This window comes from Homo sapiens, chromosome 2 (genome assembly GCF_000001405.40).
Source record: "Homo sapiens chromosome 2, GRCh38.p14 Primary Assembly".
Lineage (NCBI taxonomy): Eukaryota > Metazoa > Chordata > Mammalia > Primates > Hominidae > Homo > Homo sapiens.
Window position 1 is genome coordinate 162,014,510 of NC_000002.12, and position 15,798 is coordinate 162,030,307.

The window sequence follows — 15,798 nt, forward strand, 5'->3', positions numbered from 1 at the left end:
AGCACAAGATTTTGTTCCTCATGTCCGTCAGTAGCAAGTCATTTCTAGAGTTTAACAATTTGTTAAATGAGAGTAGAAAAGGAAAATGAACTGCTTGGATTCAGCACATTTTTAAGATATAACATTTTCTTTCAGGTTAAAATACTAGTTAATGTTAAAACATAAAGTTGTTTCTAATGTATCTATTAAATACATTGGTGCCTAGTAACATAAAAGTGCATCTTAGAATTTCTAATGTTTTGTTTTTATGATTCTGTTCTTTGGCATCCGATCTACTTATCTAGTTTGTTTATGGCTTATGTTCTAAGTTTTCCTCCAAAATGTTTTCCTCTTCTTGAATTTCCTTGAAGCTGTTTAGGATTTTTAGTTGGCCCCAACTCTATTTTAGAATTCTGATTTAATAACATTTTTGTAATTCTTATTGCCATCCCAGACCGCAAAGCTGAGTTCCCATTTTCAGCTCTGTGTTTCACAGAATGAGATCGGGTTTATATGGAGCAAACTGTTGCGTACATTCTGTATGATCTCCCACGGGTCTGTCTCATTCTCTGTGCTTGATTTAACATCAGTTTAATAAAATTTGTCCCTAAATAATGAGTCAGTTTCCTTCGTTCCCAAATAAAAGATGAGTTATACTAATAGATCTATAAAAAAGTGTTTTTCCACATTTAAATAAAATTATTCCAGATTCAGTAGATTTAAACTGTAGGCAAAAAAATTCTTATCTCTAGAGCTATTTTTATCTAACATTTATCTTCCTTTTTGTTTATGTTTGTTACGATTATTTTACTTGAAAAGAAAAGAAAGATTTGGGAGTAAAATATATAGATAGATTTATCTTCAATTTATATTTTGCTGACTATTGTTATGCCTTCTGATTAAATGTGCTTGTAAGAGCAAAATTTAAGTCTCTATTATAATTTCAATAGAACACCAAACTATCAGTTGACCATGATATTTTTAATGAATATGCAAAACCCATCATTTGATCTCTGCTTTGTTTGAATTGGCATTAGTTGATGGGAAGGTGTTTTAGTCCCACTTTTTTGGAGATGTATAGTCTTTGGTTTGGGGGGTTCTTTCTATTCACAGAGTCCCACCTTCCCGGCTCCCTCCTCCCTGACCTACCTTTCATCCCTCCTTTCTGTACTTTGAATGGCTATAACCACCTCCCCATCCCCACAGCTCCATCCTACATCCTGTCTCAAGTCACCCGTCTACTAATGTGGCTTCCGTGACCCTAAAACCTGCAGGGGCTCCCCAGTGTTCATGACTGAAATAGAATGTCACATCTCAGTATTCAGTGCCTTCTGTACCAGGTTGTCAATGTTAGCTCTGGAAAACTCTAAGCTCTTGCCCCTCACGTGTGGCTCAAGGGTAAGCAGCACTAGCATCACCTAGAAGCTTAATACAAATCCAGAAACCTGGACCTTCCTTGACCTGCTGGGTCAGAATGTGCATCTTAATATAAGATCCCAGGAGACTCACATGCACATTCAGTTTGAGTAGCACTGATGTAAACTGTTTTTCACGAGGATGCTATACTTTCCTGTGCTTTTCCTGATATTTAAAATTAGATGTGTTGAATCTTTTCTATTATCCTAAATTTTTTTAAAAGCCTAAAATGAATCAATCCTAATATAACAGATTCCTCCCTCCCCTATAAGCTGTTAGCCCTTAGTGGAAAAAATAAAGAAAAACAAACAATAAATAACAAGATTTTCTACTCAAAGAAACCCATTGTTCTTACTGGTCTCTGAACATAATCCATGATTACACAATCAAGCCGGGACCACACTATGGGAGGTCAGCAGGGTTTGGAAAAGTTCAAAATTTATCTTCTGAGACTGAAGTTTCAATATTTTATAGCCAACACGAATTGTTTTATACAACTATCTCAGATATCCTTGACCTCTTTGGGTTAAAGGTGAAATATGCTAGGATGTCATTAAGTTAAACACACAATTAATATTAGTAGAATAATAGAGTCACTAATGGGATAAAAGTGAACTAACGATAGAGCATGTTCTCCAAATCCCTTCCTTTTTGACAGAATAAGTTTTATGTAGAATGGTATTATATTTTAAGACAAAAGGATGTAAAATTAGTATTTCTTGTGACAAAACATTTCATGGAGAAATAACCTTTTAAATTAGATTTATATATAATATGAAATACATATTTTCAGATCGAATTACTATAGTTAGAGTGCATTGGTGTTTCCATGAAAAGTACTATTCCAAAGGAATTTAACTTACTTGTTTCATTCAAAATAATGAAGTCCAGTTTTTTGGAGGGCATCTGGACATTCTGCAGCATTTTATCCAAAGCTGAATTGTCTTCCAGGACTCTCAGCCCTAAAGAAATACAGGAGACAGCAGTCATTCATTACAATGTGAAAAATGTGGATTATGTAGTGCAATAATGAGCAAACATGAAATTCACTGATCGGACTACACATACTTCAGGTTATAAGGCTTGTGTTCAACTCATTGTCAAGACACAAAGCCAAAGAAAATCACACAATGCTAAGTACATGTTAGACTTATGCAACACACTTTCTTAGAAACAAATGAAGAGTAAAATATGAGAAAATACCTTTATCATTCACGCTGCTGTGTAGAGTATAGAGGGGCAGACCAGGACCTGTTAACACAATGGGGGAAAAATGTTTTGGATGAATACTTTTTTAGAAAAGATAGTATAGATGACTTTTCAAAAATACCATTTGTTACCATTTAACTTTGATAGAATATATAAATATTATAATGCATAAGAAGTTTAATACATGTTAGCTGTTTCTCCTCCCCCTCTCTTTAAAATAGTTGCAATTTCAGTGTAAGAAGTATTACTGGAAAGGCACAGGGCTCAGTAGAATGAAGTAGGAAATGAATCTGTGCCCTGCTGGGCACCTTGGGCACATTATCATCTCTGAACTTAATATACTCATCTGCAAAGTAAAATGTGAGCTGACATCCTTCCCCACTCTAAATCCGTGATCCCACAGGGTTTTTCAGGCTCTGCCCAGGTGGGCTGCAGAGCCCTGTAGCCAGCCTCCCTAGGGAGGGACAGATCTCCCCCCGCTGCCCCCACTCCCATGGAGTCCCAGAGCCAGGCGGCACATCTGCACAGTGCCTGACTTGGATAAGCGATTCCTTTCTGGCATGCAAAAGTGTTTTTCTCACAAGCCCATATCGTCACTGTTTATCCCAACTGTGGTAGTTGCAGAGTGGAAGGTAATGTATAGAAAAGCTATTTTGTGAGCTCTTTAATTTTATGTGTTTGGATGATAATATTAATTTTTATACTGGATTAGAAAGAGTGAAGGCACTTTCCATACCTGGGGATGAATCCTGGCTCACTAGCTCTGTGACTTAGGACAACAGAACTGTGCTTTGATTTCCTCACATAGAAAATGAGGATAATAATATCTACTTGATAGAGATTTCTTAAAGATTAAACAAGATCATGAATATAAAGCTTTTAGCACAGTGCTTAGAATAAAGCGCATGCCCAAGAAATAATTGCTAAAAAAAAAAAGTCAGTCATAGTAAAGAACCATAAAGAAAAGCATAATAATAAAATATACTAGTGAGGGAAGACTCAGATAACTGGTTTGAAAACATTTATTTATTTTTGTGCTATGGACAGTTCTTTTCAGAATATCCAGATCCTTTCTCCCATTTTGAGAAGTAACCTGGCACACTGTTTAAAAGGGATGGCTCGGGCGGCAGAGGCCTGTTTTGAATCCTGTTGTGCCTGTAACTCGCTGTGTGACCACCTGCATAAGTCACTTGGCCACTCCTTGCCTGGGTTTCTTCATTTGTAATTAATAATAGCAACAGCAACAGAAGATGGAGCAGTGAGCATGTTGGGTGACACGCACCAGCCACATACATTTTCTCATTGAAAGGGACGAGTGCATAAAATAATCATTTAAAACCCCACAATATGTATGTATTTAACGCTGAAGTGCTTCTGTTATACACAAGGGTGTGTGTTTGTGCATGTGTGAGTGTGTTCGGTCTAAGGCAAGCTATGCAAGTCTCTCAGTGATAAGGGGAAGAAAAGATTGTTTATGCTCACTACTTAAATGTGAGTGGAGAGAAGGGGACTTAGGTGATTTCAAGAGCTCCTCAGATTCAAAAGGAATAGAGGGAGCTGCTTCGAAGTGAGTAACAGCGGCGACTGCCCTCCCTCCCAGGGAGCTCAGACTTACCGGAACATCTCAGCTGATAATACTTCGCCTCTTTACTGAATGACACAGAATAGTACTGACACCTTTCCGGATTCAGCTCACAACTGAGGCATGTCACTTTTGTATAGTCACTAAGTTGGATTCTGTAAAACCAACGGTGGAAATTAAGTGCTTGAAGAAAAGATAAGTGAGAGGAAGGAACTGAATAAAGCCATATTCTAGTTTCAAAGACAGCAGCATGCCAACGCAATCTTTAGGACTTTTTTTTTTTTAGCATGAAATAAATACATGAATTAATAGTAACCTCAAACCTTCCATTGTTTGGAAATATCACAAAACATCGAATAAAGCCATTCTCTCTTGTGGACATGTAGATTGATTTATGAAGGAATAAAAAGTGCTCAATAGCAATACCAGTTTAATATTAGTTAGGACAAGGCAAAAAATAAAAATAGAGTTCAGAAATTGTTCGTCAGCTAAAATGACTCAAGTCAACAACTTGACAGAGCTCTTACTTATAAAGATTCCTTCCTCCTGGCATTCCTTTATATTCATTACTAATGTAGTATCTAGGAAGAGAAAAAAATGAAATATATATTAATTATGTTTTTTAAGAAGTCAGAGGCGATCCACCGCACTCAGACCCCAAGCCTAAGTGTGCACGGAGCGCGCGCACGGGTGCCCGCCGCCCTCCGCCATCGCTTCCGTGTCCCTCACCCCCGAGAAGCCATTTTTCTCCGTCATCTCTACACATAAAGGTCTTGTTCTTAACAGACTAAAATATGTAAAACCAGAGATTTCTTCCTTAATTAGAGTGACAAGTAAAAACACAAAAGAAGGCTTCTGTCAAAAAAAAAATAGGACTAGGCAGCTAGCCTGAAATTGAGACCCCACTCATTGATCCCGATCGTTGTATTTTCTGTCTTATAACATAAGCTACTAGATGGCAGGAGCCCCATGTTCCTGAGAGCAGCAGAGCCACTGCTAAAGAGGGGCTTCAAAAGCTACTTCGGGCGGCGGCAAAATTCCTCCGCGATTAGACCAATAAAGAATCATAAAAGTGCCTCAGATTCTAATGAAAAATAACACCCCCTTTTCTACCAACTCATATATGGCAGTTAGCCTCTGCAAAGCTTTCCATTTTGCAAAGAGTAAGGCCGGGACATGGACAGATAAAATTGCCTTTCCAAGCCTTCCAAAAAATCAGTGCCAGCTGAAATTTAACAAAATGCCCCTCATTGCTAGTTCGGCGTTCCACAACGTTCATGTAAAAGAGGATACAGCTCTTGTAATGTAAAGCAGGTAAGAGCAAGAGGTAGAGCTGCCTGGTGGCATGGTATCAAATCTGCTAAGCATATGTGAAAATCATTAAGGCTTCCGTATGTTAAAAAGAAAAAAAGTATTGAACACATTCCAAAAAGACTACTCTTTATTTGTAGGAGATTTTTTCCCTACTTCTGGGCAAAGAGGGCATGATTATGACAAGTAGGTTTATATCCTATCAATTGTTACAATACTCACAGATAATCACTGGTTAGAGCTTCTATCCCGATGACTTCCCAGGTGCCTTTTGTAATAAATGTGCAGTCCTGATGGTTTTTTTTTTTTTTCAAAAAAAAAAAAAAGATTGATTAGAGACTCTCTCTGTTCAAAGTGGAGGATTAAATCATTTATATCAGGAATTCAAATAACCTTGGATTTTCTTGTTGGGTTTCCCCACCTCGTTCCACATGACACAATACACCACTGAGGAGTTTAAATTAATCTGATTTTTATACACATTGATCCACCTTACCAAATGATTTCCACTTCAAGTTGGTTTCCAAAAAAAAAAAAGAGGTCAACATGAAATAAAATATGTAAGAATACTCACTTTTTTATCTATTTGGAAATAGCAAATGTGTCTGTAACCTTCTTCATTGCTGATGATCTTGTAGAAGCTATTACCATCAAGGGTAAAATGAGGTTCTGAAGGCCTAAACTAGAAAATAATAGAGAACAAAAGAACATTAAAGCACAGTGTCTCATCTCAGTACCAACTTTAGTTTTAGAAAGTCCTGTCCAATACCTACGCTCAAAAATCCATGCTCCATTTATATGCCAAATTAAAATTAGTGTCTCAAAAAGAAAATTATCTTTCTATAAAATGTGAACAAAAACACCATACTCATAGGTAATTTTCGTGAGCAGTAAATGAGAGAATGTATATAAAGAGGCTTGTAGAAAACAATAAATAGAAGTTGTTGTGATTTGGAGACATCTTTTCTCTATGGATGATAACTATGACTTCTGGCTGCAAGCACCTGGAAAATAGCATTAACCTTTCAGTTTGGAGCAGTAAATTTCCTCAGTGTCACAAATGTGCTCTCTTGAAACAGACATATTATTTTATATTGTTTCAGGTTGGGGGTGGTTTGCAATTTGGGGATATTTTTCTTTCCTGTTTTTACACATATTTCTTTTTGAAACTCAGACTTAGTATTTAACCATTTCTGGACTACATACTATAAGGAATGTCTGTTGTATATTTCATATGAAAACATTCATATAGTTATTATTATAAGCCTTTTCATTTTGTTAAATATGATCAACAATTTACAAAAAATATTTGTATAGAAATATAGAACAAATTTCCATTTTTTTACAGTTCAATAAAAGATAGTACTCAGAACATAATGCAGTTTAAGTAGAAGAGAGTCTATCCCAGCCTGAAAGGAATATGTTGGTTTACGATTTTGATTTCCTAGCTACATTTGAGAGCAGGTAGGAGATGGTCTTTTAAAATTGTTGGTTCACTTCGCCCTCGATGTTTCCTCTCTCATCAGCTCCCATTTTGGGAAGGAAGAAAAATGCTTCCCTCTTCTATTTAGTGATTCAAAGCGAATTCATTTATGGAGCAAGCTGAGGCGTGCGGTACACTTGGTGTTCTCATTACAGAGCTTTGAAACACATTCCCCTCTCTAGACCTGTGTTCACAGCCTTATCTTTTTAATACATTTCCCTGTTTCCCCTGGATGGAGTTGTGCCTAGTAGAAATGTGTGAAAAGTGGCATCTGTCTGGTTAAATACAGAGAGGAAAAAACATATTTTTTTCAAAGAGTCGTGAGGAAGTGTAGCGTGTCTCTTGCCATGGAGGAAACCACTTTTCATGTTGGCAAACCTCTCCCCTCTGCCCAATCAATGCCTGAAGAAAAAGGACGTGTGAATGCTGCCGGAGCTCTGAGCCCAGCTAGAAGGGGTTGTCTTCTTGGACTGGGGACCTCACCTCTATGATCCAAGAGGTATAAAATCTTTACATTTTGGGGGTCACTTTATTTCCCTCTTAAAGGGGGCTTAATAGAAGTGATCATAAAAATTAAGTGAGATTCATTCCTCATCTACCATGCAAGGTGACATGATGACTGGAGTTCCTTCATCAACTCATTACATTCTATGGCCATAGCAATCTGGGTGGTAATTCTGTGCAATGTGTATATAACTCAGTGGGACTGAGAAGCATGACAAGTCCCTGAGGGTCACCACACTTTCCTGGATAAAGCTCTGCATCTGGACGCCTAATAAAGCATAAGCCTGCAAGTATGATTTCCTCCAAAGAGAGGTGCATAGTGGGCACTGTGTGGTTGCTGCTGAGTTTTTCTGCTTGTTATAGTGACCTCTCCTTAGGTAACTGTGCAGGCTGGGGACAGAACCTGTGTTTTCTGTCTTTAAAGCACATAACTTCAAATGTGAGGTCACTGGATACCTTGGCCAACTTTCAGCCATGGTTACCCTTTAACTTGCTGGGAGTTACAACTTGCCAGGAGTGCGCTATGTTTTGTCTGCTCTGCTTTTGATTTTTCACTTGTCCCCTTACTTTTTCCAACTGTGTGTGTTATATATTCTCTACAAAAAGATATCTTTATAGGGAGCATTTACATATTTTGAGAAATAGGTTAACTAATATTGCTATTAATAACGTATCACTTAGAGCCCTAGTTTTAAATAGCTGCATATCAAATAGCTGAGTAGCTGACTCATCCATAAAACCCCACAACTTATAACACTTACTCTTCCAACCCAGCCAGTAGTACTCATTTCAATGTGTTGCCGTGCCTAGGAAGGGAAAGAGACAATGACAGCATTTCAAAGAGAAGTCAGATGAAATCTATAGCCATAATTTGTGGTAATATAAATAGAGCTGTACTTATAATAACTGAGAGCTATCTCCATTCATATATTTCTATTTATGTTAGTATTTTTCAAGTCATTACATTAGATCATTTGACTCTCTTGCCTAAAGTTATATCCTGGGTCCTTCTGGAAGCTCCACTGGTGTTTTAAATCCAGCATGCACAAAACTAAAGAGAATTTCATTTGTTTTCCTCTGTCCCACCAGCCTGTTCTACTCCCTCATTCTTCTTCTAGTTAGTGGCACCTATTCACCCAAGCCAGAGACCTGGGGGTCATTCTAGATTCCTGCCCTCCTCATAATCACCTCCTTCAGCCCCTGTCACCTAGTTCTTTGACTTCTCTGTCCTTCTCTACAGCTAAGGGCTTTGTTCATGTCCTCAGCAGGTTGCCCAGGGTCTGTTGCCAGAATCTCCTTGTTGGAGATCCTGCTGCTCTTCTCTGCTGACCTTAGTTAGCAATAGATAGGCCTGTCCCATTGTGATAGTCTTTTCTTTAAAACCTTGAAACAACTCCCCATTTCTTACGAGATAAGTCCAAACTCCAGGAATGGCACCTGAGCCTTTGCCTATATCTCTAGCCTCATTGCTCCCCACTACACCTCTCCCCCAGTCCCTAGTTCCTGCATGTTCCAAGCTATTCACACTGGATGCCTTTGCACAGCCCTCTGCTTCTATGGCGTTCTGTCCTTATCTGCTCAGCACACGGCAACTTACCCCAGGCTACTCTATAGCTCTCCCACATCATCTCCTTCCCCAGTCTGCCTGCCCTTAGTAGAGCTGATCATCTTCTTTTGCACTCTATTCCCTCTGTACCTTGGTTGAACCCTTTTTAGGGTACAATGAGGTATTATGAGGATTTCATTGGCAGCAAGCAAAGAGCTTGGGTTTTGCAGTTTGAATTCTGACTGTGCCCTGTGACCTGCGCTAGCTCCTCAAACGTTGATCCTCAGCTTCCACAGTGACTTGTATACCATAAGTGGCAGCTTTTATTATTTACTTTGATAATATTCCCAACTAGAACAGAAACATTTTGGGGGCAGGCATGCTGACTAATTCACTTTTTAAAAAAATCCATAGCTTAGCACAGAGCTTGGAACATAACAGGAATTCCATGTTTGTTACATAAATTAATAAGTGAATCAAGTTATGTGAGGCTCCAGGTCTGGGAGGTGAGAGTCTGCCCTGAGCCTAGCCAGGATGAGAGCAGGGATGGTAGGTGTGTAGGCAGAGGGTCTGTGACTAGATAAGGGGGATTGGGGAGGTATCCTTGGCATATGCCAGCAAACCTCTTCCAGGATCCACCCCTCCCAGGCTGCAGGCTCCCAGAGGGACTTTAACTTTGACCGTCATCCTAGTTGGACCTCATGGTCTCCTGGCTAGAAGCCTCCCAGCACCTCAAGGTTGGATGAACAGAGTTGGCCTCAGGATTGCCACCCTCTCAGACTGGCAGTTATTTATTTCCATTCTAAAGCTGTTTCCTGCTTAAAGACAGTGACAGTATGGTAATGGGTTTGTGGCCTCATGTATTTGTTTTGTTTCACACACACTCAGCCAGTTATTCCCCATTCCCTACATTATCTTTATTAAAACACACTCTGTTGAGCTTGCAGGTGCTGGCCCTCTTTGGTTTTTAAAATATTTACATCAGATTCTATCTTGTGGTCAGTCACCCCCTCTCCACTTCCCAAGTGATAGTATCCATAACTAAAACAGTATGACTAGTCAGTGTAGGAGAAATAGAAGCACCTCGGGATGGCAGGTTATCTAGGAGTTTTATTCAAGATTTTATTGCCTCAGGATCAGACAGAGTCAGAAAGAAGAGAAACTCAAACTTCATTTCCTGATTCCCAGCCTTCACTCTCCCCAACTGCACAGACCCTCTGATCACATGTTGCTCTAGAAGCAGAACATCCCCATTCAGTCTCACCACTAAGCAGTTCCATCTTCCACTGGATTCATCATAGTCACAAATATCCATGACCGAATAGTTCTGAATCCTCCTGAGCCACTGCAAAGAAATTCTTTCTTGTGTTGCCCATGTCACATCACACAAGTAGTGATCCCTGGAAGGAAGAAAGAAAGGAAGGACAGAGAGAGAGAATGAACATGACTATTGCCAGACCTTGGTACAAATAGACATTTTACTCAGTGAAAAGAAATCAATCTTAATGGGAAGTAGAATTATAAATGGTTAATGAAACCATTTAATATAATATTTCACCTTTTCTTAAAGCTTAAAGTGTAATTTAATTTGGAATGAAAATTAAAATATATCCAACAGGAAAAGCAGCAACAATATTCTACAGTGGCTTAACATGCGTGACTCAAACCACGAGCTCAGGATTTATCAAGTCTTCAGCTTGGCCTTTGGTAATGCCAGGGAGTCAAGGGTAATGTTTTCGCATCTCCTTTCTGCTGTCTTGAGGGAAGTGAGGCCACAGACACTGGCTAAGATTTGACTGTTTCTTGTATTTTACATGCTTCTCCAGAAAATTCTTTCTATTAGGGTGAAACTACAGCTAACCCTTTTCTCAACTTCATTTTCAAAGGGGAAAAAATTGACTCACACCTCCAGAAACTTTGAAAATCAAAGAAATATATTCTAAAAAGACATTTCTCAAGAGTCAAAACATGAACTCTGCAAAGAAATGAAAAAACCCTGTGGTATTTTCACATAAATTTATGTAAACAGAGGTATCTCTAGTAGTGCATCCTCCCCAACACATACTTAAAAAATTTTTGGAACCACCTTCTGATTTATAGTGAAGTGCATGGAATTCATTGTTTACTTTTCTGCTGGCCTCCCTCACATTATTGGCAATGGATAGTTTATGCTTTTTCTCCCTCCTCCTCCCCGATTGTGGTTTTGGATTACTATTCACAAATCCCTGCTCTCGAGTGTCTGATTGCAGCCTTGCTCTTTTTTGTCAGAGAGTTCCAAATGAGTGTGTTCATCTCCCTCTTCCCGCCTGGTCTGGTGGCTGTATCTCCTCCCCATCCCAAATGCTCTCACACAATCCACTTGCCCTCTCCTTCACAGGCTGGACCTGCCCCTCTCCTTGCTTGACTGCAAGCTCTTTTACAGGGTGTCCCCAGGGCCTAGCAGAATGCCTGACTCAACACAGGCACTAATTATATGTCCGTGGAATGCAGCACAGAAGAAAGCAAAGCCCTCTCCTCACCTGTGGGACCTGTCATATTGTCATACTGAAGGACCATAGCTTTGTCCTTCTTCAGAATTCATAGATCAATTTCCATCTCCACTCCCTTCGCAGACACCTAATCACACAACAGACATTTACTGGGCACTCGGGATGGATTAGGTGCTGGATAAAGCCCTTTAAGCCCCTCACAGCTTCATCATCCCCATTTTACAGCTGGGAACACTTAATGTGCGAATGTGCCTGGTGATACCGGGCTTCCATGCTACCCTGCTGTAAGGCGCAGGTACTGAAACAGGACCGAACCCCTTCACTCAGCCGCAGAGCACTGCATTTCTGTAAATTGGGGTCCCTTTTCACTTCAGTCCTTTTACTTGCTTCTGAAGAAACTATATACTACCTAGTCTGGGTGGCTGGTATTCTCAGGAACACACCATGAGTTTCCCCAGTTGCCCCCTCTTTGTTCAGTCTTGCTCTTTAGCCTGAAGTGGCTGCCAAGCTCTAACTTCCTTAGGTCTTGGCCTAAATGTCCCCTCATCCACGATGTCTTCTTGGAAACCTCCTTCTCCCACACCACTCTGCCAGGTCTCATTGCACTCATCACAAACCGCCAGGCTGCAGGGGCTGAGAGTGCAACTGCCACTTTCCATGCCGGGAAACAGAGACATCTCATCCAGTCTGACGCTTCTGCATCTGCCCAATGCAGGGGAGCTAAATGAGAACCTGGAAAGGTGAATACACTTTACCCAAGAAAGGCAATAAATCTGTGCAAAGAGAATGGAAGTATGAAAAGCACAACAGAAAAATGAAGCTTTCTGAAATTAGTTTTTTAGACCAGACGTTGGAAAACTTTTTCAATTAAGGGTCAGAGAGTTAAGTATTTTAAGCATTGTGGTCCACATCTCTGTCACTACTCCACTCTGCCTTTGTAGCACAAATGTAGCCAGAGACCATAATTAAATGAATGAGTTCATTTAATATTCCACTGAAAAGCTAAAATTTGAATTTCATTAAACTTTCATGTATAATGAAATATTATTACTCTTTTGATTTTTGTTCCCAACCACTTAAAAATGTAAAACCTGGGCAGATCACCTGAGGTCAGGAGTTCAAGACCAGCCTGACCAACATGGCAAAACCCTGACTCTACTAAAAATGCAAAAATTAGCCAGGTGTGGTGGCACACACCTGTAATCCCAGCTACTCAGGAGGCTGAGGCAGGAGAATTGCTTGAACCCGGGAGACGGAGGTTGTGATGAGCCAAGATCAAGCCGCTGCACTCTAGCCTGGGTGAGAGTGAGACTCGGTCTCAAAAAAAAAAAAAAAGTAAAAACCATTCTTACTTGTGGACCACACAGAAATGGGCAGTGGACTGCATTTGGCCCATAAACCCTAGTGTGTTAACCCCTGTCCTGTATCAGTGGTTACTATTTTTTCAGGCCAAAAACCATTTGGACAATCTGATGAAACTGATGTACCTCTCTCTAGGTGGGAAAAGCCTCTCCACTGACATACATACAACATCTGAAAATTCCATGGGCATAGATTAGGAATTTGGGCTCCAGCAATATTCTTCTTTTTAAAAGTGCTCTGGTAGAGCGAAGGGGTATGTGATGGGGGGAACAACTTTTTGACAATAATTAGTGGATCACCCAGTACTAAATAGCTTTATCTATTAACAGTCATAAATTAAACATCAGGTTCAGAAATCAGCAATATAAAAGCAACCTTTCCCCATTTGAAAACATTGAGTAATGGAATTTGGGAAGTCAGCCAGGAAACTCACGTGCATCAGTCATCTTCCCTGCCCATTTTCAGATCAAAGGTTTATGGTCCTGGACTCTGCATGGCCTGGGTTACTCTCCATGACCCCAGGTGTACTCTGCACCCTGTGCATGCTCAGCAAGGCAGTTCACCCGTGGCGCAGACAGGAATTTTTGAATTTTCTTATAAACATACTTCCCTTCAGTGGCAGCCTTGAGCCAAGATTATGCCAGTCTGAGATGTCAAAGAATCATTTAAAAAAAAAAAAAACAAAAAACTGCCAGGTGCAGTGACTCATGCCTGTAATAGCAGCATTTTGGGAGGCCAACACAGGTGGATCATTTGAGGCCAGGAGTTCGAGACCAGCTTGGCCAGCATGGTGATACCCTGTGTCTACTAAAAATACAAAAATTAGTCAGGCATGGTGGGGCGCATCTGTAATCCCAGCTACTCGGGAGGCTGAGGCAGGAGAACTAATTGAACCGGGCAGACAGAGGTTGCATTGAGCCGAGATCATGCCATTGCACTCCAGCCTGGGTGACAGAGTAAGACCCCATCTCAAAATAAATAAATAAAGCCAATGGCTCAATTGTACTTTTTACTGAAAAGTTTAAGTCCCACTTAAAACCAGAAAAATCCAACCAGCAGGATTATCATCTATGCTTTGCATACTGCATGCTGCTTTTATTCTGCAAAAACAGGCCAATACTGAGTAGCTTTCTTATGTAATGGTTTTGGTGGGGTAGAAGAGGGACCACCCCTGCAGTCCAGGCCTTCCTGAGAGCCTGGACAACTTACCCAGGTTAGACATATGAGCCAGCAAGCTCTTCTACCTTCTGCAGCTGGATTAGTCCAACGGGAATATGGTTGATTTTAATACTAAAATGACGGAGTAATTTCTGGATGTAAAATAATAAGTTCACACCCATGTGGAGTCTACTATGTGCCAGGAACTATTCTAAGTGCTTGACATAAGCTCATGACCACCCTATGAGGTGAGTACTGCAGATCATGCTCTGCAGACAAAGAAACTTAACAGCAGAGGATTTAAGTAACTTGCCCACTATCGCCCAACTGGGAAGTGTTGGAGCCGGGATTCAATTCAAGCTGTTGGCTTCAGATTCCCAGTTCATACTCGCTCCCTCTATGAAACCTCCACCCATCCATTTGGAAAATGTTGCTAGCTAGCTTCACCTTCTTGTTTCTTTTCAGCATAAAGTTCCTCACTTAAAGAAATCTATTCCTAGAGAGCTTGTGTGTAAACTAAATTAATTTTATAAGGCAAATTATATGTGAATGCACTGAGAGAGACTTGTTGAAAATCACACAACAGAGAATCCCCTTGTAAAGTGACCACCTGTCCCAGCATAATGCCTTGCAAACAGTAAGCATTTAATAAATGTTTGTTGGGTAATATTAATTCCCTTAATTTGTGTAAATGTTTCTTTTGGTACATTAAGGATACTTAAAATAAGGTATTTATCATCAACTGGAAATCATATTGGAGGGAAAAATGCTACAAAGAGCAACTGCAACCGTGGAATGATTAATTCAGTGAATCACCCGAGGAAGCGGGCATACTGCCAGTGCTGGCCTCAGGCTCCATGCCACCCTCTGCTCTGATGGGGATGCCAACCCTCCCAGGTTCGCTGACAAATCCCTCAGGAGAGGAATGGGTGGGATGAGATGAAGCAGATCTGAGGGCTGCAGCACCCGTACACCCGCACAGTCGTAGCATGCAGGTCCTAATGTGCAGATGTCACTAGCTTCCAGTTTATTTATATCCTGTGTGACAATCTGAGGCTTTGATGTTGCAGCTTTATAGGCCAGGGGTCGTAACAGTTCAGAGAAGACACAGCAAGACTTTATATCTATTGTGTCATCCAGGAGCAGAGAGAGCAGGGATGGGGTATGTCATGAGCTGGGTGTGATGAGCCCCAGAGCCATTCAACAGATGTTGGGTGGGGTTACTACAGTAGAACATGCCCTTTCCAATCCCCTAGATTCAGGCCACAGAATTTTTGGCAGAGAGGAGATAAAAGGAGGGATTTCTATGCAAGGTCATTTTGAAGTCTATCCATAGTGCTGGCAGCGTGAACCACTATTCTATACACACAAAGCCATCTAGATAACTTACTCATCCATTCATCCATCCACCCATCCATCCATCCTCTGCTTATCTATTAGTTTATTCTACAAATATTGGTTGGGCATATGCTATGTCGCAGGCACCCTACTACACACTGGAGATACGATTGCAGGATTGGCCTCTACTGCGTAGAACCTGTCTTACTTCAGTCAACAATGAATGTACTGCTCTAGATAAAAGTTAGGAGATTTATGATTTTACATTATGTGCTGTTTTCCTTCAAATTTTTGAGCTTTCCAGTTCTCATTATGAACAACGAACACAAAATAGCATCATAACAAATCTAATCAACTTTAGCACTAAATCAATGCAGGCAGCAGGGAGACTCACCCTGGTTCAAGTTCAGGCCTTAGTTGT

The 15,798-nt window shown here is 40.4% G+C and overlaps 1 protein-coding gene across 8 annotated transcripts in view, besides 1 other annotated feature; it reads right to left on the reverse strand.

The window, feature by feature from the left end:
- The window catches only part of DPP4 (dipeptidyl peptidase 4), an 81,971-nt gene that overhangs the window by 22,265 nt on the left and 43,908 nt on the right, over positions 1–15,798 (reverse strand). For 7 of the 8 annotated variants that reach the window (NR_166822.1, NR_166825.1, NR_166824.1 and 4 more), the window contains 8 exons: positions 10,295–10,430; positions 8,246–8,290; positions 6,072–6,179; positions 5,720–5,787; positions 4,714–4,767; positions 4,220–4,341; positions 2,599–2,646; positions 2,259–2,357 (listed from right to left, as the gene is read on the reverse strand). Coding sequence is in view for 4 of the 8 variants with exons in the window: in NM_001379605.1 (NP_001366534.1) it covers positions 2,259–2,357; positions 2,599–2,646; positions 4,220–4,341; positions 4,714–4,767; positions 5,720–5,787; positions 6,072–6,179; positions 8,246–8,290; positions 10,295–10,430 (680 nt within the window). In the remaining 4 variants the exon portion in view is untranslated. The remainder of the gene's footprint in view (positions 1–2,258; positions 2,358–2,598; positions 2,647–4,219; positions 4,342–4,713; positions 4,768–5,719; positions 5,788–6,071; positions 6,180–8,245; positions 8,291–10,294; positions 10,431–15,798) is intronic. The other variant, NM_001379606.1, reaches the window with a different exon arrangement.
- Positions 12,257–12,426: an enhancer, noted in NCBI's record as "experimental_54939 CRE fragment used in MPRA reporter constructs". NCBI's record gives its function as "activates a minimal promoter by MPRAs in K562 erythroleukemia cells, with activity observed for both the introgressed and non-introgressed 2:162883361 variant alleles {active_cell/tissue: K562}" and the evidence as "EXISTENCE:reporter gene assay evidence [ECO:0000049][PMID:34662402]".